This window comes from Homo sapiens, chromosome 16 (genome assembly GCF_000001405.40).
Source record: "Homo sapiens chromosome 16, GRCh38.p14 Primary Assembly".
Classification (NCBI taxonomy): Eukaryota; Metazoa; Chordata; class Mammalia; order Primates; family Hominidae; genus Homo; species Homo sapiens.
In genome coordinates, this window is record NC_000016.10 from 71,818,891 (window position 1) to 71,841,442 (window position 22,552).

A 22,552-nucleotide genomic window follows, 5' to 3' on the forward strand; every position below is an offset into this window, starting at 1 on the left:
TGAAAAGAAAAATGGGGCCGGGCGCGGTGGCTCATACCCCTAATCCCAGCACTTTGGGAGGCCAAGGCGGGTGGATCACAAGGTCAGGAGATCAACACCATCCTGGCTAACACGGTGAAACCCCGTCTCCACTAAAAATGCAAAAAAAAAATTAGCCGGGCGTGGTGGCGGGTGCCTGTAGTCCCAGCTACTCGGGAGGCTGAGGCAGGAGAATGGTGTGAACCCGGGAGGCGGAACTTGCAGTGAGCGGAGATCGCGCACCATTGCACTCCAGCCTGGGGTACAGAGGGAGACTCCGTCTCAAAAAAAAAAAGAAAAAGAAAAAGGAAAAATGGGCCAGGTGTGGTGGCTCATGCCAATAATCCTAACACTTCGGGAGGCTGAGGTGGGAGGATTGCTTGAGTCCAGGAGTTCAAGACCAGCCTGGGCAACATGGCGAAACCCTGTCTCTACAAAAAATACTAAAGAAGCCAGGCGTGGTGGCTTATGCCTGTAATCCCAGCACTTTGGGAGGCTGAGGTGGGCAGATCACCTGAGGTCAGGAGTTCGAGACCAGCCTGGCCAACATGGTGAAACCCTGTCTCTACTAAAAATACAAAAATTAGCCAGGCGTGGTGGTGCATGCCTGTAATCCCAGTTACTCGGGAGGCTGAGGCAGGAGAATCGGTTGAACTCGGGAGGCAGAGGCTGCAGTGAGCAGAGATCGTGCCATTACACTCCAGCCTGGGCAACAAGAGTGAAACTCCGTCTCAAAAAAAAAAAAAAAAAAGTCCAGATGCAGTGGCTCACGCCTGTAATCCATCACTTTGGGAGGCTGAGGAGGGCAGATCACGAGGTCAGAAGATTGAGACCATCCTGGCTAACACGGTGAAACCCCGTCTCTACTAAAAATACAAAAAATTAGCCAGGCGTGTTGGCATGCACCTGTAGTCCCAGCTACTTGGGAGGCTGAGGCAGGAGAATCTCCTGAATCTGGGAGTCAGAAGTTGCAGTGAGCCGAGATAGTGCCACTGCACTCCAGCCTGGGCGACAGAGCGAGATTCCATCTCGAAAGGAAGAAAGAAAGACAGAGAGAGAGAGAGAGAGAGAGAGAGAGAGAGAGAGAGAGGAAGGAAGGAAAGAAGGAAGGAAGGGAGGGAGGGAGGAAATTAACCAGGTGTGTTGATGCCTGCCTGTAGTCCCAGCTACTCAGGAGGCTGAGATGGGAGGATCACCTGAGCTGGGGGAGGTAAAGACTGCAGTGAGCAGTGATCAAGCCACTGTACTCCAGCCTGGGCGACAGAGTAAGACCCTGTCTCAAAAAATAAAAAATAAAAACAAACAAAAGCTAGTTACGCAAGAAACCAAAAAATAATAATATTTTGGCCTTCTTTTCTAGCCTCTCCAGTCTCACAGAATCACTAACATTTAGTCCACTAGAAGATAAGAAATAATGGAAACTAATATTTGTTGCGCACATACTAAGTGCTAAAGAAATTTATATATATTATTTATTTTTTCTTTTCTTTTTTTCTTGAAAGGGAGTTTCACTTCATTGCCCAGACGGGAATGCAATGTCATAATCATGGCTCACTGCAGCTTCAACCTCCTGGGATCAAGCCATCCTCCCACGTTAGCCTCCGAAGTAGCTAGGAATACAGGCGTGCACCACCATGCCCAGCTATTTTTGTTTTTTAATTCTTTTATAGAGATGGGGTCTCACCATGTTGCCCAGGCTGGTCATGAACTCCTGGACTCAAGCAATTATCTCTCCTTGACCTCCCAAAGTGCTGGGATTATAGGCGTGAGAAACAGTACTTGGACAAAATAAATAGTCTTATAACAACTCAAATATCTTCAATGAGGCCAGGTGTGGTGGCTCACACCTGTAATCCCAGCAATTTGAGAAGCCAATGTGGGAGGGTCACTTGAAGCCAAGAGTTCAGACCAGCCTGGCCAACATGGCGAAACCACGTTTCTACTAAAAATACAAAAAATACCCGGGGGTTGTGGCACACAACTGTAATCCCAGCTACTTGGGAGGCTGAGGTAGGAGAATCGCTTGAACCTGGGAGGTGGATGTTGCAGTGAGCTGAGATCACGCCACTGCACTCCAGCCTGGGCAACAGAGCAAGACTCCATCTCAAAAAAAAAAAAAAAAAAAAAAAAAAAAAAATATATATATATATATATATATATATATATATATATATATATATCTTCAGTGAATACTAAACAACTCCAACTTCTACCAGCATTCTCTATAATTACCAGGAACCAATGAAGGAAGGAAATCATTCTTCCAGTCATCATTCTGAAAGAAAAAAGATCACTGGTGGGAAGTAGAGGAGGGCAGATATCTGAAGTCAGGAGTTCCAGACCAGCCTGGCCAACATGGTGAAACCCCGTCTCCACTAAAAATACAAAAATTAACTGGGCATGGTGTCGCGCACCTGTAATCCCAGCTACTCGGGAGGCAGAGGTTGCAGTAAGCCAAGACTGTGCCACTGCACTCCAGCCTGGGCAACAGAGCAAGACCCTGCCTCAAAAAAAAAAAAAGAAAAGAAAAGAAAAAAGATCACTGGGAAGTAATTGGTTTGTGTTACAAATGCATATTTCGCACATAGTAGGCCTTCAATAAATATCTCTTAAAATGAATAGAAATTTAGTTACCCATTATCACAGTCGAGCTTCCTTCCTGTTTGGGGTGAAGTTTTTTTGTTTTTTGTTTTTTTTTTGAGATGGAGTCTGCCTCTGTCCCCAGGCTGGAGTGCAGTGCTGCCACCTTGGCTCACTGCAAGCTCCGCCTCCCAGGTTCATGCCATTCTCCTGCCTCAGCCTCCCGAGTAGCTGGGACTACAGGCACCCGCCACCATGCCCGGCTAATTTTGTTTTTGTATTTTTAGTAGAGACGGGGTTTCACTGTGTTAGCCAGGATGGTCTCAATCTCCTGTCCTCGAGATCCGCCCGCCTCAGCCTCCCAAAGTGCTGGGATTACAGGCGTGAGCCACCGCGCCTGGCCTGTTTGGGGTGAAGTTTTTTTTTTAGTGCTTTCTAACAATTAGCCTTAGAGTGACCATAGGTCTTGCTGCTTCTGTCATGTATGGCCTCATATAAGAACCCAGGAAATGTTTTGTCTTTGAACCTGGAGATGCTATTTGTGAAAGATGTTTGTTTAATAAAATCAGAGGAGGCGGCCGGGCGCAGTGGCTCACACCTGTAATCCTAGCACTTTGGGAGGCTGAGGCAGGCGGATCACCTGAGGTCGGGAGTTCAAGACCAGTCTGACCAACATGGAGAAACCCCGTCTCTACTAAAAATACAAAATTAGCCGGGCATGGTGGCACATGCCTGTAATCCCAGCTACTCGAGACGCTGAGGCAGGAGAATCGCTTGAACCCAGGAGGCAGAGGTTGCAGTGAGCCGAGATTGCGCCATTGCACTCCAGCCTGGGCAACAAGAGCAAAACTCCATCTCAAAAAAAAAAAAAAAAAAAAATCAGAAGGCACCTTCTCCAATAAATAAACAGAGAGGGGAAAAGGAGTAATGGGAAAAAAAGGAAGTGTTGAAGATTAAAAGACTTCAGATACATATCAACCAAATACAATATGTGGATCTTTTTGGATCTTGATTTCACAAAATAACTGCAAAATTCATTTTTGACAGTTGGATAAATTTAATATATAGATGAATATTATATGATATTAAGGACTTCTTTTATTTATATTTTATTTTATTTATTTATTTATTTTGAGATGGAGTCTCACTCTTGTCACCCAGGCTGGGATGCAATGGTGTGATCTCGGCTCACTGCTACCTCCGCCTTCCGGGTTCAAGCAATTCTCCTGCCTCAGCCTCCTGAGTAGCTGGGATTACAGGCGCGCACCACCACGCCCAGCTAATTTCTGTATTTTTAGTAGAAACAGGGTTCCACCATGTTGGACAGGTTGGTCTTGAACTCCTGACTTCATGATCCACCCGCCTCAGCCTCCCAAAGTGCTGGGATTACAGGTGTGAGCCACCGTGCCTGGCCAGGACTTATTTTCATTATAATGAGAATAATGACATTGTTTTATGTTAAACAAAGGATATGTGTTAGAGATATGTAATGAAGTATTTACAGTTGCAATTATATAATTTCTCACATTTGCTTAAATTCTTCCTCTGCTTTCTCCCCCAGAAAAGTTAAGAAGAGTCCGGGCGCGGTGGCTCACGCATGTAATCCCAGCACTTTGGGAGGCTAAGGCGGGTGGATCACGAGGTCAGGAGATCGAGATCATCCTGGTTAACACAGTGAAACCCTGTCTCTACTAAAAATACAAAAATTAGCCAGGCGTGGTGGTAGGTGCCTGTAGTCCTAGCTACTCGGGAGGCTGAGGCAGGAGAATAGTGTGAACCCGGGAGGTGGAGCTTGCAGTGAACCGAGATGGCACCACTGCACTCCAGCCTGGGTGACAGGGCGAAACTCCAACTCAAGAAAAAAAAAGGAAAAGAAAAGAAAAGTTGAGAAGAGATAGATGAAATAAGAGCAGCAGAATATTGATAACTATTGAAACTGAATGATAGGTACATGGGAGTTCATATGTAATACTAATTTTATAAAGGCAGTATCTAAAATTTTCCTTAATAAAGTTTTCTTTGTTTTATTTTTAAATCAGAGGACTCGACTTTCGAGAATAGAAGCTGAGCAATATACAAGGTGTGGTTGAGACAAATAATTTCAACAAGAAAATCAGACTTGGATTATGTCTGAAATATAAAGTCTCAGAAAAAGAGCTTCAGGCTCAGAAATGCCTAGCAAGTAATGAGGAAAATTTTGAAGTAAAAACAAACAAACAAACAAAAAAAGCCTAGCAAAGTAATCAAAGAAGTTCTCTTTATGCTGAAGGAAGAAAAAGTGAAGAAAATTAGTGCCTACAGCTCTTTAGTTTTTATTTATTTGACCTCTTCAGATTTATGTATACATATTTTGTGAGGTTTTCTTTTTTATTGAGAAAAGGTCTTGCTCTGTCACGAGGGCTGGAGTGCAGTGATGCGATCGTGGCTCACTGCAACCTTGACCCCTTGGGTTCAAGATCCTCCCACCTCAGACCCCAGAATAGCTGGGACCACAGGAACACACCATCACGTCCAGCTAATTTATTTTTATATTTTGTAGAAATGAAGTTTCCCCATGTCGCCAAGGCTGGTCTCAAACTCTTGGGCTCAAATGATTCTCTTGCCTTGGCATCGCAAAATGCTGAGATTATAGGTGTGAGCCCCCATACCCACCCAAAGTTTTAATACTATTTTCTTTCTTTTTTCTTTTTCTTTTTTTTTTTGAGACAGAGTTTCACTCTTGTTGCCCAGGTTGGAGTGCAATGATGCGCTCTCGGCTCAATGCAACCTCCGCCTCCTGGATTCAAATGATTCTCCTGCCTCAGCCTCCCGAGTAGCTAGGATTACAGGTATGTGCCACCATGCCAGGCTAATTTTGTATTTTTAGTAGAGATGGGTTTCACCATGTTGACCAGGCTGGTCTTGAACTCCTGACCTCAGGTGATCCACCCGCCTCCACCTCCCAAAGTGCTGGGATTACAGGCGTGAGTCACTGCACCTGGACTTAATACTATTTTCAACATAAAAGTAAATTGTTTTCCATATTATATGAATTGAATATATCTAATCTAAAACATGAGTCTAAATCACTGTACATTAAAGACTTTCAAATTTGTCCAGCTCATAAAAATGTTCTCTGCAGTCTGTACTGTTTTATTGTTAAGAGGTTGATGAGAGACTATAGCCTTGTTTTCTTATGATTTAAGTGTAAAAATATATCACATATCAGCTAAATGATTGCAAATATCCCTCCATCCTTAAAAACATTGCAAAGATCAGACCGGGTACAGTGCCTCATGCCTATAATCCCAGCACTTCAGGAGGCCGAGGCAGGCGGATCATGATGTCAGGAGTTCAAGATCAGCCTGGCCAATATGGTGAAACCATGTCTCTACTGAAAATACAAAAATTAGCTGGGCGTGCTGGCGCATGCCTGTAGTCTCAGCTGCTCGGGAGGCTGAGGCAGGAGAATTTGTTGAACCCAGAAGGCAGAGGTCGCAGTGAGCAAAGATCGCGCCACTGCACTCTAGCCTAGGTGACAGAGTGAGACTCCATCTCAAAAAAAAAAAAAAAAAGAAGAAAAAGAAATGTATTTTTGGCTGGGTGCAGTGGCTCACACTTGTAATCCCAGCACTTTGAGAGGCCAAGGAGGGAGAATCACTTGAGCTCAGGAGTTCAGAGACCAGCCTGGGAAACATAATGAGACCTTATCTCTATAAAAAATTTTTAAAATTAGCTGGGCACGGTAGTGTGCATCTGTGGTCCAAGTTACTCAGGAGACTGAGATGAGAGGATTGCTTGAGTCTGAAAGGCAGAGGTTACAGTGAGCCAAGAACACGCAACTGAACCCCAGCCTGGGCAACAGAGTGAGACCCTGTCTCAAAAAAAAAAAAAAATGTGGCTGGGCGCAGTGGCTCATGCCTGTAAATCCCAGAACTTTGGGAGGCTGAGGCGGACAGATCACTTGAGGTCAGGAGTTCAAGACCAGCCTGACCAAGATGGTGAAACCCCATCTCTACAAAAAATACGAAAATCAGCTGGGCGTGATGGAGTGCACCTGTAATCCAGCTACTTGGGTGGCTGAGGTGGGAGGATCACTTGAACCCGGGAGGCAAAGGTTGTAGTGAGCTGAGATCACACCACTGCACTCCAGCCTAGGCAACAGAGCAAGACTCAATCTCAAAACAACAACAACCAAAAAAAAAAACGTATTTTGGCACTACCCAAGTATCCTTCCAGATTTTGTTTCCCTATCCATACTGATCTTTTAGGAGGAAGGACAGAGCAACAAAGGGCTGGAGATGACATGTAAGGGTCCTGGTGCACATAGTGTTGATACCCTAAGTTGATCACCAGTTCCTACTTCAGTACCACCTCCTCTGCCACGGCCATCTTTCTTGACATCATCAGTAAATCCAATATTGACCAGGTCTGCTGGGGCTTCAGCCTTACAAGAGAGAAAGAATTCCACTAGGTTCTCAATATTTTTTTTTTTTTCAGACAGAGTTTTGCTCTTGTTGCCCAGGCTGGAATGCAATGCCATGATCTTGGCTCACCACAACCTCTGCCTCCCAAGTTCAAGCAATTCTCCTGCCTCAGCCTCCGAAGTAGCTGGGATTACAGGCATGCACCACCACGCCTGGCTAATTTTGTATTTTTAGTAGAGACGGGGTTTCTCCATGTTGGTTAGGTTGGTCTCGAACTCCCGACCTCAGGTGATCCACCCACCTCGGCCTCCCAAAGTGCTGGGATTACAGGTGTGAGCCACTGCACCTGGCCAGGTTCTCTATCTTTTACACATTGGTTTATTGCACGCTTACTACATGCCAAACATTCCTGGACTCCCTGGGGAAGAAATGGTGAGCAAAGAGACATGGTTCCTGCCCTCATGAAGCTTATAGTCTAGTCAATGAGAATTAAAAGCAAACTTTGGGCCTTCCAGTCCACAGGCTTCTTCCTTCTCTCTCTTTCCATGCCTATGTTTTCAGTACCTATGAGGTTAGACACTAGCACACAAACAGTTAAGAGCTAACTGTAAATACGAATAGATAGGTCTACAAGAAAGTTTATTAAACTTTAGCAGTGGTAAACTCCAGATTTATTCATTCATTTGACAAAATGAACAGACAGGAACAGGGCTGGGGATGCAACTGTGACAAAAGTCCCTGCCCTCATGGAGCTGACATTCTAGTGGGGGAGACGAATAATCAACACGATCACTAAGTGAACTATGCAAGATGTGAGCTAGAGATAAGTGCTACAGAGGAAAAAAAAAATAGCAGAGAAGAGGGAGGAGGTTGACATTTTAGAGAAGATAGCCAGGGAGGGCCTCACAGAGAAGAGAACATTTAAGTATAGACTTCCAGGAAGTAAGGGAGGAACGAGGCAGATATCTAGAGAACACAGAATACCGGAAGGAGATACAAAGGCCCTGACGTTGGAATGTTCTTGGGCATTTGAAGAAGCATAAAGTGGCCAGTGTGGCTAAGGCAGAGTAAACAAGGAGGAAGGTTGGGGGGAATGAAGTCAGAGTGATGGGGAGGGAAGGTATGGGTTGTGGGAAAGACTTTGCCTATTATTCTAAGTGAAATATGGCCAAGTGTGGTGGCTCACGTCTGTAATGCCAGCACTTTGGGAGGTGGAGATGGGTGGATCACTTGAGGTCAGGAGTTCGAGACCAGCCTGGCCAACATGGTGAAACCCCATCTCTACCAAAAATATAAAAAATTAGCTGGGTGTGGTGGCAGTCGCCTGTAATCCCAGCTACTCAGGAGGCTGAGGCAGGAGAATTGCTTGAACCCAGGAGGCAGAGGTTGCAGTGAGCTGAAATTGAGCCACTGCACTCCAGTGTGGGTGACAGAGTGAGACTCTATCTCAAAGAAAAAAAAAAAGAAATGAAAAGGCACTGGAGGCCAGGTGCAGTGGCTCATGTCTGTAACCCCAGCACTTTGGGAGGCCGAGACAGGTGGATCACTTGAGGTCAGGAGTTGAAGACCGCCTGGCCAACATGGTGAAACCCTGTCTTTACTAAAAATAAAAAAATCAGCTGGGCGAGGTGGCGTGTGCCTGTAATTCCTGCTATTTGGGAGGCTGAGGCACGAGAATCACTTGAACCCAGGAGGCAAAGGTTGCAGTGAGCCAAGATTGCACCACTGCACTCCAGCCTGGATGGGTAGGGGTTGAGAGAAAGGGAAGAATCAAGGAAGATATGAGTATTTTTGTCGTAGCATAGAATTACCATTAACGGTAGAATAGGTAGATATTTTGGAAGGGGTGAGAGCACTTTGGGACGTGTTAAGTTGGTGATGTCTATGAAACACTCAAGTGAAGATGTCAAGAAGGCAGGAGGATATATGAACCTGGAGCTCATATAAACTGAGAAGCCTTAGGTAATGCTATACATGTAGAAGCCCCCACCATAAAGAAGGTATTGAAAAACATGTGGTTGGATGAAGTCAGCTCAAGAGTTGGGAAGAGGTCCAAAGACTAAGCCCTTGAGCACATCTCTAGTGGCATTTCATATGTCTTTTACTGCTTTAAAGTCCCTTTCTGTATTGTTTAAATGTATACAATGTGTCATTTTTCAAAAAGCTATATAATTCTTTGGAAGAGAACAAGAGTAAAAGAATCCCTATCAGGAAACCATCATCAGCAAAGATAAATGTGCCCCATTCTCTGGAATCCAACATGATACATCCAGCAATCTGAAAGCAGAGCAGTGGGAACACAGGAGATGGAACAGACTTTTTGCTTCATGCCTGCACTAAGCAGAAGTTTGGCACCCAAGTATGAAGCCATCCTTTATAAAGAAGTCACCAGAGACAGCTTAATCAATCACTAAAACAAGTAGCTCCCTACATGGAATGATGTGAGATGCATTAGGGGAAAATCTCTCTTGTCCTAAGACAGTTCATGACCATCTTCTGGAAGCTTAATTCACCCCCATGATAATGATTACAATGAAAAAAAAGCAAAAGCAAAATTTGATTACATTTGTTATGTTCCAGGCATTGCATTTAAGTTCCTTATGTGTATTAGCTAATTGAGTCATCTCAACAAACTTATGAGTTAGGAAATATTATTATCCCCAACCCAGAAAACTGAGTTGTTGACACTTGGCCTGAGGTCTCACAGTTAATATATGGTGGAGCAAGGATTTGAATATGTATCGTTTCACTCCTGAACCCATACTCTTCTTTCTTTTTTCTTTTTTTTTTTTTTAGAAGGAGTTCCGCTCTTGTTGCCCAGGCTGGAGTGCAATGGTGTGATCTCAGCTCACCATAACCTCTGCCTCCTGGGTTCAAGCGATTCTCCTGCCTCAGCCTCCCAAGTAGCCGGAATTACAGGCATGCGCCACCATGCCCAGCTAATTTTTTTTTTTTTGTATTTTTATTAGAGGATGGGGGAGAAAAGAACTAAAAATGTTTCACACACTTCTGGATATAACACTTTTAGGTACCTTCGTTTTTTTGTTTTCTACTCTATTGTTAACCACTTATAAGGGTCTGTTAGGAATAGTATGTGGGCAGAGAAAAAGTACAAATTTTACCTGCTTTACAATTCTTCCAGAGCTACTCTAGAAGCCACATGACTAAGTAGAAAAAAATCTTTCAGTGCACAATAAAAACCTCAGCTTTAAGTCAATTTTCCCATCTTAAAAGTACTTACCATGGGCCGGACATGGTGGCTCACACCTGTAATCCCAGCACTTTGGGAGGCCAAGGAGGGTGGATCACAAGGTCAGGGGATCAAGACCATCCTGGCCAATATGGTGAAACCTCATCTCTACTAAAAATACAAATATTAGCTGGGCATGGTGGTGCACGCCTGTAATCCCAGCTACTCGGGAGGCTGAGGCAGGAGAATCACTTGAACCCGGGAGGTGGAGGTTGCAGTGAGCCAAGATCATGCCATTGCACTCCAGCCTGGGGGACAAGAGCAAAATTCCGTCTCAAAAAAAAAAAAAAAAAAAAAGTGTAAGGATAGAAAAAAAATCATACGGTAAGGTTGCAAAGAGCAAAGATCTATGGGTAGCATGAATCTTTTTTTTTTTTTTCTTTTTTTTTGAGACAGGGTCTCGCTGTCACCCAGGCTGAAGTTCAGTGGCAGGACCTCGGCTTTCTGCAACCTCTGCCTCCCAGGCTTAAGGTATCCTCCCACCTCAGCCTCCTGAGTAGCTGAGACTACAGGCACGTGCCACCACAGCTGGCTAATATTTTAAAAATTAATTTTTGGTAGAGACAGGGTTTAGGTTTCACCATGTTGCCCAGGCTGGTCTCTAACTCCTGGGCTCAAGCGATCCACCTGCCTGGCCTCCCAAAATGCTAGGGTTACAGGTGTCAGCTACCATGCTCAGCCAAGAACAAATCTTCTATTTGTGAAATTGTGAAGAAGGAAAAAGAAATTCATGCTAGTTTGCCTGTCGCAGCTCAAACAAACTGCAAAACTTTTGGTCGTAGAGCGTGATAAATGCTTAGTGAGGATGGAAAAAGCCTTAATTTTGGGGGTGGGAAACATGTACAGAAACTTACTCAGGTTTGGTATTATCTGCAGTTTCAGGCATCCAATGGGGGTTTTGGTAGTGTTCCCCACGGATAAGCAGGGACTACTGTATATTTTTTTTAGATGATGTATAATTTAGCAACAAAAAGGGGCCTTGCTTGTGAATGTATAAGACAGCCCTATTCCAGAGTTAGAGAACTTCAAACCAAGCAGAATATGAGGAAGAAAGTGAACATAAGAAAAGGCCGGGCGTGGTGGCTCACGCCTGTAATCTCGGCACTTTGGGAGGCCGAGGTGGGTGGATCACCTAAGGCTAGGATTTCAAGACCAGTCTGGCCAACATGGCGAGACCCTGTTTCTACTAAAAATACAGCAGTGAGCTGAGATCGCACCACTGCACTCCAGCCTGGGCTACAGAGCAAGACTCTGTCTCAAAAAAAATCCAAACTTTGAATCAACAGTTCTGATTTTGTGATAAGTATTTGAATTATGTCAAGGGTGACAGTAAATATATTCAAGAACCAGTACTACATGGCACTAACCAATCAGAATGGACACCCTGAATGACAAAAAATGTCCACCAGCCTGAAGCAACTGCTGTGGCCAGGTCTCTGTGTTCCATTGAATGTCAGTTTTGAATTATGTAAATGTGGTCATGATGTCAGATGTTCAAAAGTCGAAACTTCTAAATTTCATTAGCTTCCTTTATATTACTAAGCCAGTTACATTTAGTCAAATATGTACTTTCTTTTTTTTCTTTTTTTTTTTTCCTGAGATGGAATCTCGCTCTGTCCTCCAGGCTGGAGTGCAGTGGTATGATCTCAGCTCACTGCAACCTCCACCTTCCAGGTTCAAGCGATTCTCCTGCCTCGGCCTTCTGAGTAGCTAGGATTACAGGCATGCACCACCACGCCTGGCTAATTTTTGTAGTTTTAGTAGAGACGGGGTTTCACCATGTTGGCCAGGATGGTCTCTATCTCTTGACCTCGTGATCCACCTGCCTCAGCCTCCCAAAGTGCTGGGATTACAGGCGTGAGCCACTGCACCCGGCCAATGTGTACTTTCTTAAAAAAGAAATCAGCTCAGTTTTCTTGGCTTTAGCTTTTTTTTTTTTTTTTTTTTTTTTTTTTGAGACAGAGTCTCACTCTGTTGCCCAGGCTGGAGTGCAATGGCACAATCTCGGCTCACTGCAACCTGCACCTCCCGGGTTCAAGCGATTCTCCTGCCTCAGCCTCCTGAGTAGCTGGGATTACAGGCGCCTGCCACCACGTCCAGCTAATTTTTTGTATTTTTATTTTATTTATTTACGTATTTATTTATTTTTGAGCCGGAGTCTCGCTCTGTTGCCCAGGCTGGAGTGCAGTGGCACGATCTCCCCTCACTGCAAGCTCCGCCTCCCAGGTTCATGCCATTCTCCTGCCTCAGCCTCCCGAGTAGCTGAGACTACAGGCACCCGCCACCACGCCTGGCTAATTTTTTTGTATTTTTAGTAGAGATGGGGTTTCACCATGTTCGCCAGGATGGTCTCGATCTCCTCACCTCGTGATCCACCTGCCTCGGCCTCCCAAAGTGCTGGGATTACAGGTGTGAGCCACTGCGCCCGGCCCAATTTTTTGTATTTTTAATAGAGATGGGGTTTCATCATGTTGGCCAGGCTGGTCTTGAACTCCTGACCTCAAGTGATCCTCCCACCTCAGCCTCCTAAAGTGCTGGGATTACAGGCGTGAGCCACCATGCCTGGTGGCATTAGCTTTTTTATAAAGTTCAATTCTCTAGTTTGAGACCTTTATCCAAGTTGCTTTGCCTCCAATGCAAAACTTATTTCTATACATTTTTCCGTCTGCACCAAATTATGTGTTCTGAGTTGCTCAGCTTTTCTGAGACTTCTTCATTTAGAAAAAGTATGTGTCACTGGGGTGGTGGTTCACTCTTGCAATCCCAGCACTTTGGGAGGCTAAGGCAGGTGGGTCACTTGAGGTCAGGAGTTTGAGACCAGCATAGCCAACATGGTAAAACCCCGTCTCTACTAAAAATACAAAAAAATTTGCCAGGTGTGGTACCGAGTGCCTGTAATCCCAGCTACTCTGGAGGCTGAGGCAGGAGAATCACTTGAACCCAGGAGGCAGAGGTTGCAGTGAGATGAGATCGTGCCATTGCACTCCAGCCTGGGCAAAAGAGTGAGACTCTGTCTCAAAAAAAAAAAAAAAAGAAAAGAAAAGAAGAAAAGAAGAAGAAGAGGAAGAAGAGGAAGAAGAAGAAGAAGAAGAAGAAGAAGAAGAAGAAGAAGAAGAAGAAGAAGAAGAAGTAGAAGAAGAAGAAGAAGAAGAAGAAGAAGAAAGAAAGAAAGAAAAAGAGAAAAGAAAAAATAAGTGTCTCCAGAAATGGTACTACTTGAGAGCTGACAATTCCAATCTCATTGATTATATTCTTGGCTGTATTTAGCACACAGCTGATTAGATACCTGCAGCAAATCATCACCAAGAAAGAAAGAAAGGCAAGATTCATCAGTTATGATGAATTTGTTTTAGACGAAGAACAACTGGGGCCAGGTGCGGTGGCTCACACCTATAATCCCAGAATTTTGGGAGGCTGAGGTGGGTGGATCACTTGAGCCCAGGAGTTCAAGACCAGCCTGGGCAACATGGCAAAACCCCATCTTTACAAAAAAATACAAAAAATTAGCCCAGTGTGGTGGTGTGTGCCTGTAGTCCTGGCTACTTTGGAGGCTGAGATGGGAGGATCGCTTGAACCCAGGAGGTGGAAGTTGCAGTGACTCGAGATCATGCCACTGCACTCCAGCCTGGGCAACAGAGCAAGGCTTGTCAAAAACAAAAAACAGAAAACAAAAAAAAAAAACCTTTAATTCTAAACAAACTCACTTTTTAAGTTTTGTTTTGTTTTTAGTTAAAGCTTATTTAGTTTTTATACCATTGCCATAATAAAGTATTTATGTTTCACTTTTTAAAAAGACTAATAAAAGGAAATACTTTTTGGTTATCCCTTAACAGAAAAAAGGATTCCCCAAATAATCCTACAATTCCAAACAAGTAACACTAGGAATACCCTCATATACAATTACAGCACAGACACACCAGGCACGGTGGCTCACGCCTGTAATCCCAACTCTTTGGGAGGCCAAGGTGGGCAGATCGCTTGAGCTCAGGAGTTTGAGACCAGCCTGGGCAACATGGCAAAACCCTGTCTCTACAAAAAATACAAAATTTGGCAGGGCGTGTTGGCGTGCACCTGTGGTTCTAGCTACTTGGGAGGCTGAGGTGGGAGGATCACTTGAGCCTGGGAGGCGGAGGTTGCAGTGAGCCGAGATCGCACAACTGCACTCCAGCCTGGGTGACAGAGTGAGACCCTGCCTAAAAACAAACAAAAAACAATTATGGTGCAGAGAGTTAGAACTGGTCAAACTCAGTTCAACTGAGGCAACTCTACGTGCAATTGACAACTGCCCAGATTAGTATAGATATAGATTCAGCCAGACAAGAATCTAGTTCCCTAAGGAAAGCATGATATTATGAAATTCAGGGCCTTATGTTTCCCTCTTTTCCTTGCTTCAAGAGTAGTCCATGGACAATGCTCACAATATAATGTTAAATCAGTTTTAAAAACTAAAATTGAAACATAAACCTATACATTAATATACCTGTGTCTACACACTTGTGTATGTTACATATAGTTACATACATAGGGACTGAAAGGAGAGACACCACAATTCTTTTGTCTAGATCTGGAGATAAATGTGATTGCTTTGCCCTGGGAGATGGTAACCCTGCTGAATACATCTGTTGGCAGGGGACAAAGTATGTGATGGAGGTGCTGAAAGATCTCATATGCCCAATTTGTTACAGTCTGTTTGATATCCTTGAGTTTTGGCTTACTTGCACAACTTCCGGGAAAAAAAAATGCTTAGAAGGCATGGGATGATTAATACTGAGAATCAACTTGATTGAAGGATACAAAGTATTGATGCTGGGTGTGTCTGTGAGGGTGTTGCCAAAAGAGATTAACATCTGAGTCAGTGGGCTGGGGAAGGCAGACCCACCCTTGATCTGGTGGGCACAGTTTAATTAGCTGCCAGCGAATATAAAGCAGGTAGAAAAACGTGAAAAGGAGAGATGGGCCTAGCATCCCAGCCTACATCTTTCTCCCGAGCAAGATGCTTCCTGCCTTCAAACATCAGACTCCAAGTTCTTCAGTTTTGGGACTCGGACTGGCTCTCCTTGCTCCTCAGCTTGCAGACAGCCTGTTGTGGGACCTTGTGATCATGTAAGTTAATACTTAATAAACTCCCATATATAAAAACTATTAGTTCTGCCCCTCTGAGAGAACTCTAATACAAGGTAGCTTAAAGGAGAATGTGCAGAATTCATTGTGGAGACTACCTCCATTCAGTCAAGTGCCCTGGGGTGCTGTAAGGAAACTTCAGCAACTGGAGTCAACAGCCTGCAGGTTAATTACTCCCTGAAGGGTTTGAAGAAAATATAACTAGATCAAGATCTCTTCTAAAATGCCAGTGTTCAAAGGACATCTGGAGTACCTCTGAGCATTCTCGGGCTGACTGATACACAGCTAATCTGTGGAATCCGTGCTACTGGTGTTGACCACACCAAGCATTGTCTTCTGTTCTATTGAAGAAGTTCATGCTCAGAAAAGAAATGGCTATGCCTTTGAATCCCTCTTTTAGAGTTTTGAGAACTGGCGTTGGGGAGATGTTCTTTCTCGCCTGAATACCATGGAGACTAGCAAGTTACTGATTAAAATATTTAAGTAAAGTATTAAAGAATTGAAATAAAGGCCGGGTGCAGTGGCTCACACCTGTAATCCCAGCCCTTTGGGAGGTCGAGGCGAGTGGGTCACTTGAGGTCAGGAGTTCAAGACCAGCCTGGCCAACATGGTGAAACCTCGTCTCCACTAAAAATACAAAAATTAGGTCGGGCGCAGTGGCTCACGCCTGTAATCCCACTGAGGGATTTGGGAGGCTGAGGCAGGTGGATCACAAGGTCAGGAGATTGAGACCATCCTGGCGAACACGGTGAAACCCTGTGTCTACTAAAAATACAAAAACAAAATTAGCTGGGCACGGTGGCGGGCACCTGTAGTCCCAGCTACTCGGGAGGCTGAGGCGGGAGAATGGCATGAACCCAGGTGGCAGAGCTTGCAGTGAGCCGAGATGGCGCCACTGGACTCCAGCCTGGGCAACAGAGTGAGACTCCGTCTCAAAAAAAAAAAAAATTAGCCAGGCACGGTGGCATGCACCTGTAGTACCAGCTACTTGGGAGGCTGAGGCAGGAGGATCACCTGAAACCAGGAGGCGAAGGCTGCAGTGAGCCGAGATTGTGCCACTCTACTCCAGCCTGGGTGACAGAACGAGACTCTATCAAAAAAAAAAAAATTAAATCAAGTGAATTGGATCCAAAAAATAAAAAATTAAACTTTTTTTTTTTTTGAGATGGAGTTTTCCTCTTGTTACCCAGTCTGGAGTGCAATGGCACAGTCTCAGCTCACTGCAACCTCCACCTCCTAGGTTCAAGTGATTCTCCTGCCTCAGCCTCCCTTGACCTCAGGTGACCCACCCGCCTCCGCCTCCCAAAGTGCTGGAATTACAGGCATGAGCCACTGTACCCAGCCTCAAAAAATGAAACTTAAAATTAGGCAAACCACTGATCCAGAGATCAACAAACTCAACACCGTCTTGCAGGAGCAGTGAATGGCCTTAACATTGCTGAAGCTATCAAAGTCGTTTCAGAACCCGTCATGTGCTGCAACAGATGCAGGAATTCTGGGAGGTAATCAAGAAAACTCCTTTACCTCCCTCTAATTTGCCCACAAGTTCCCTAATGAAGAACTTTGATACCAGTCAGTGGGAGGACATAAAACTAGTAGTTGTGCATACATGTTCTTTGCCTCAACACATTGGCACATTCATTAACAAGATTCCCTGGAGCTTTTTTTTTTTTCTTTTTTGAGATGGAGTCTCACTCTGTCGCCCAGGCTGGAGTGCAGTGGTGCAATCTCGGCTGCAGTGCAACCTCCGCCTCCCAGGTTCAAGCGATTCTCCTGCCTCACCCTCCCGAGTAGCTGAGATTACAGGCGTGTGCCACTGTGCCTGGCCTGTTTATTTATTTTTTGAGCCTCATTCTCAAAATTTTGAGACTCTGCCTCCTGGGTTCAAGCATTTCTCCTGCCTTAGGGTCCCGAGTAGCTGCAGCTACAGGTGTCTGCCACCACGCCCAGCTAGTTTTTGTATTTTTAGTAGAGATAGGGTTTTGCCATGTTGGCCAGGCTGGTCTTGAACTCCTGGCCTCAAGCAATCTGCCTGTCTCGGCTTCCAAGAAAGTGCTGGGATTACAGGCGTGAACCACCATGTCCAGCTGTCTACAAATAATTTTAAAATTAGCCTGGCATGGTGATACATACCTGTGATCCCAGCTACTCATCAGACTGAGGCAGGAGGATCGTCTAAGCCCAGGAGATCGAGGCTGCTGTGATCATGCCACTGCACTCCAGCCTGCACAACAAACCAAAACTCTGTCTTAAAAAAAAAGAAAAGAAAAAAATTATATTAAGAAGAAAATAAAAAAGAAAAACGTGTTTGTGTATGTATACAGTTCCATTTGATCCCAGCAACACCTGTGTGTTTGTATTATTTGCATTTTATAGCTGAGAGAATTGAGGCTCTGGTGGATTAAATGGCTTGCCCATGGTCACATGATTAGGAGTAATTTGTTGAATTGGAACTTGAGGCCAAACTTTCCGGCTGCAAATTCCTATGATTTTTTTTTTTTTAACCACATTATGCCACAGAATGAACAAGTGGAGTCATGTTGGAAAGGTAACAAATGTAACCTCTCCCAGGCCAATCCACTGAGACAAAAAAAGTCGTTCTACTTTGTAGGCCGGGTGCGGTGTCTCACGCCTGTAATCCCAGCACTTTGGGAGGCCGAGGCGGGTGGATCACGAGGTCAGGAGATCGAGACCATCCTGGCTAACACGGCGAAACCCCATCTCCACTAAAAATACAAAAAATTAGTCGGGTGTGGTGATGGGCGCCTGTAGTCCCAGTTACTTGGGAGGCTGAGGCAGGAGAATGGCGTGAACCCGGGAGGTGGAGCTTGCAGTGAGCCGAGATTGCACCACTGCACTCCAGCCTGGGCGACAGACCAAGACTCCATCTCAAAAAACAACAACAACAACAACAACTTTGTGTTATCAATTGATGACTGAGTCCTGAGGAAATGGTCTTTTCACAAGCCGGGAAAACCTGTGAGCCTCCAAATTACATATGCTGTCTGTCCGCCATACCCTAACAAGTGATGTTTACCATCTAATCATGAATAGACAGAGTTACTCTGTTACTGCAAAACATGCTGACATGAGATTACATTTGGATCTGAGATAAGCACAAGGCCCAGTGCTTGAAAGGGGGCATGACTAAATCCAAAGTAGGAAAATGTTCTTTGCACTAGACAGCTCAAGGAAAAGAAATCATGGTAATACCAGACTTGTTTCAGATAAATGCTGAGCCACCGTTACACCAATACCAATATCAGCACACATTTATTGTGTGCCCAGGTAATAGATCTGTGTTACAAATAGAACTCTGGAGAAATAGAAGGTCAAGATTATTATCTCCTTTCAAAAAAACAGTAAACTTCAGTAAGACAGGGCTAATTTGTTTTATATCAAATCACTTGGGTGCTTCGTTTAAATTTTTTCATTTGTAAAAAGAGGGTAATATTTATCTGGATAATATGTGTCCCCAGATTGTCAGGATAAAATAAAAGAACATGTGGACATGCAGTTTAAAATATATATGTATAGTTTTTTTGAGAAAGTCTCACTCTGTCGTCCAGGCTGCAGTGGTGCGATCTTGCCTCCCGGGTTCGAGTGATTCTCCTGCCTCAGCCTCCAGAGTAGCTGGGATTACGGGCATGCGCTACAACGCCTGACTAATTTTTTTTTTCCTATTTTTAGTAGAGACAGGATTTTAACATGTTGGCCTGGCTGGTCTTGAACTCCTGACCTCAAATGATCTGCCTGCCTCAGCCTCCCAAAGTGCTGGGATTACAGGTTTGAGCCACCGTGCCCGGCCTACAGTTTAAAATTTACAAGGGCTGTTTATACCATCAATGTCATCCTCATTGTTCATGGTCATAATAATGGATACCAATGGGTTTGCATAAATCTCATGTGTTTTTTGGATACTTTCCTTAGGTCTTTGTTGTCTAAATAATGCACAAACATCTTCAAGACCTGGCTAAAGAAGCCCAAAAATCAATTTGAAAGTCTAAGCAACGGCTACCTTCCTACTAATAGATGATGATAAATCAACAGGGCTGTTAACTGTAGACTCAGGGAACTGCAGTTAATTAACATATGCAATATTTATTTCACCTGAACCTTTCTCAGAATCAGAGATCATCAGTTTTTTAGTTTATTGAGGGGTTAATGACTCATGTGACCCATAGGAATGAGGAAAGAGCAAAAGGCAACAGAAAACAAGTTGAACTTAAGAAAAACAACACTCAGCACTACCCCTGCTCATGGGTGTACTCTGACTTGAGCTGTCACCTGATGGAAGGAATAGCATTGTGTGTGCGTGTTTGAAAAAAGGTAAAGGAGCCAGGCGCGGTGGCTCACGCCTGTAATCCCAGCACTTTGGGAGGCCGAGGCTGGCGGATCAAGAGGTCAGGAGATCAAGACCATCGTGGCTAACACAGTGAAACCCCGTCTCTACTAAAAATACAAAAAATTAGCCGGGCGTGGTGGCGGGCGCCTGTAGTCCCAGCTACTCAGGAGGCTGAGGCAGGAGAATAGCGTGAACCCGGGAGGTAGAGCTTGCAGTGAGCCAAGATGGCACCACTGCACTCCAACTTGGGTGACAGAGTGAGACTCCATCTCAAAAAAAAAAAGAAGAAAAAAGAAAAAAATAAAGGAGCCCTTCCAGAGAAATTTGCCCAGAGGGCTCAAACTTAATAGCTATATAATTTAAAAGACTGACCAGATAAAAGTTCTCTGCCTTTGTGGAGAGAAGTCCAGTAATCTGGACATCTGGACATTGGTTTTTTTTTTGAGATGGAGTCTCGCTCTGTCGACCAGGCTGGAGTGCAGCGGCAAGATCTTGGCTCACTGCAACCTCCACCTCCTGGGTTCAAGAGAGTCTCCTGCCTCAGCCTCCTGAGTAGCTGGGATTACCAGTGCACACCACCACACCCGGCCAATTTTTGTATTTTTAGTAGGCACGGGAATTTGCCATATTGGTCAGGCTGGTATTGAATTCCTGACCTTGTGATCTGCCGGCCTTGGCCTCCGAAAGTGCTGAGATTACAGGCGTGAGCCACCGTGCCCATCCTGGGCATTGTTTTACATTTAAAACTTCAGAAACTTTTTTAAATTTAAACTTTTTATTTTGAGACAATGGTAGATTCACATGTAATTCACACGTTGTAAGAAACAATACAGAGAAATCTGGAGTACCATATCCTCTAGCTTTCCCCAAAGGTGTAGTTGAATATCACAACCAGGATCTCGATATTGATAGTCAAGATACAGAACAGATTTTGCAAACTTTTTTTTTTTTGAGATGGAGTCCCACGTTGTCACCCAGGCTGGAGTGCACTGGTGCAATCTCGGCTCACTGCAACCTCCGCCTCCCAGGTTCAAGCAATTCTCCTGCCTCAGCCTCCAGAGTAGCTGGGATTACAGGCTCTCGCCACCACGCCTGTCTAATTTTTTTTATTTTTTATTTTTTTGAGATGGAGTTTCGCTCGTCGCCCAGGCTGGAGTGCAATGGCACGATGTCAGCACACTGCAACCTCCGCCTCCTGGGTTCAAGCAATTCTCCTGCCTCAGCCACCCAAGTAGCTGAGATTACAGGCTCCCACCACCGCACCCAGCTAATTTTTGTATTTTTAGTAGAGATGGAGTTTCACCATGTTGGCCAGGCTGGTGTCAAACTCCTAACCTCAGGCGATCCCACCCACCTCAGCCTCCCAAAGCGCTGGGATTTCAGGCATGAGCCCCCGCGCCTGGCCAATTTTTGTATTTTTAGTTGAGACAGGGTTTCACCATGTTGGCCAGGCTGGTCTTGAACTCCTGGCCTCGAGTGATCCGCCCGCCTCAGCCTTCCAAAGTGCTGGGATTACAGGCATGAGTCACGGTGCCCTTCCAGTCTTTGGAAACATTTAAAATGAGTTGATCACTATCATAATTATTACCACATTCTCACAAGTCAGAAACATTCCTTTAAATTCCAAAATTGCTAAGTGAGGTCTTAGGCGATGTATTGCCTTGAGGACTGTGCAGTGATCTGAGAGGCAGCTTGCCATGCTGCCTAGAATATTTACTCACGTTTTTCCCAGGAGTTACAGGCGATTTATAACTAGTTGCCAATTAACTACAAAGTTAACTTTGCAGGTAGAGCTGAACATTTCATCACAGGACACAAGAGCTCACAAGTTACCTTGCTGAGCAAGCTTCCCAGAGAAAGTTATTAGTATTACGAATGGCTCCAGTTTTTCCACACTCAATTTATTCATTCAACAAGCCTCCTGTAAGGAACTTCTGGCCACTCAGCAATGGCCTGAATGCACTTGCTTCTCTGTGGGCCAGTTCCCCAGATATGACTCTTACAGTGCAAATAAGGGTTAGCTTTCCTTCAATTTATTCCAATGGTCATTCTTTCTACTGTAACCTGTAAGAGTTCTGCAGGAAGTTTTTGACAAAAACTGGCAAGGGTCTGAGGAAATATACAAGAGATGGAGATCCCCCTCCCCAGAGGAAATAGTAGTCACTTACAGAGAAATTGTAAGACCTCCTTTTAAATAAAATATTAATGAATTTTCAAGGGAAATCCCTTTTGGAATCTGGCAAGGTCACATAACATTAAAAGCAGGTGGAAATGAGGACACAGAATTGTTCAGAGAAGTAGCTAAAACAGAAGCTTGAGAATTGCCTATCTCTACATTTGGATATCCAGAAAAGCTTTTGAAAAGTAACATAAGGCCAGGCACAGTGGCTCACCCCTGTAATCCCAGCTCTTTTGGAGGCTGAGGCGGGGATCACCTGAGGTCAGGAGTTCTAGACCAGCCTGACTAACGTGGCGAAACCCTTCCTCTATTAAAAATACAAAATTTAGCCGGGCGCGGTGGCTCACGCCTGTAATCCCAGCACTTTGGGAGGCTGAGGCCGGTGGATCACGAGGTCAGGAGATCGAGACCATCCTGGCTAACACGGTGAAACCCCGTCTCTACTAAAAATACAAAAAATTAGGCGGGCATGGTGTCGGGTGCCTGTAGTCCCAGCTACTCGGGAGGCTGAGGCAGGAGAATGGAGTGAACCCGGGAGGCGGAGCTCGCAGTGAGCCGAGATCGTGCCACTGCACTCCAGCCTGGGCGACAGAGCGAGACTCCGTCTCAAAAAAAAAAAAAAAAAAAAAAAATTTAGCTGGGCATGGTATCAG

General features: G+C 44.7%; 1 pseudogene; it reads left to right on the forward strand.

Annotated features, from left to right (window-relative positions):
* Positions 15,426–17,048, forward strand: LOC100420489 (tripartite motif containing 13 pseudogene; annotated as a pseudogene).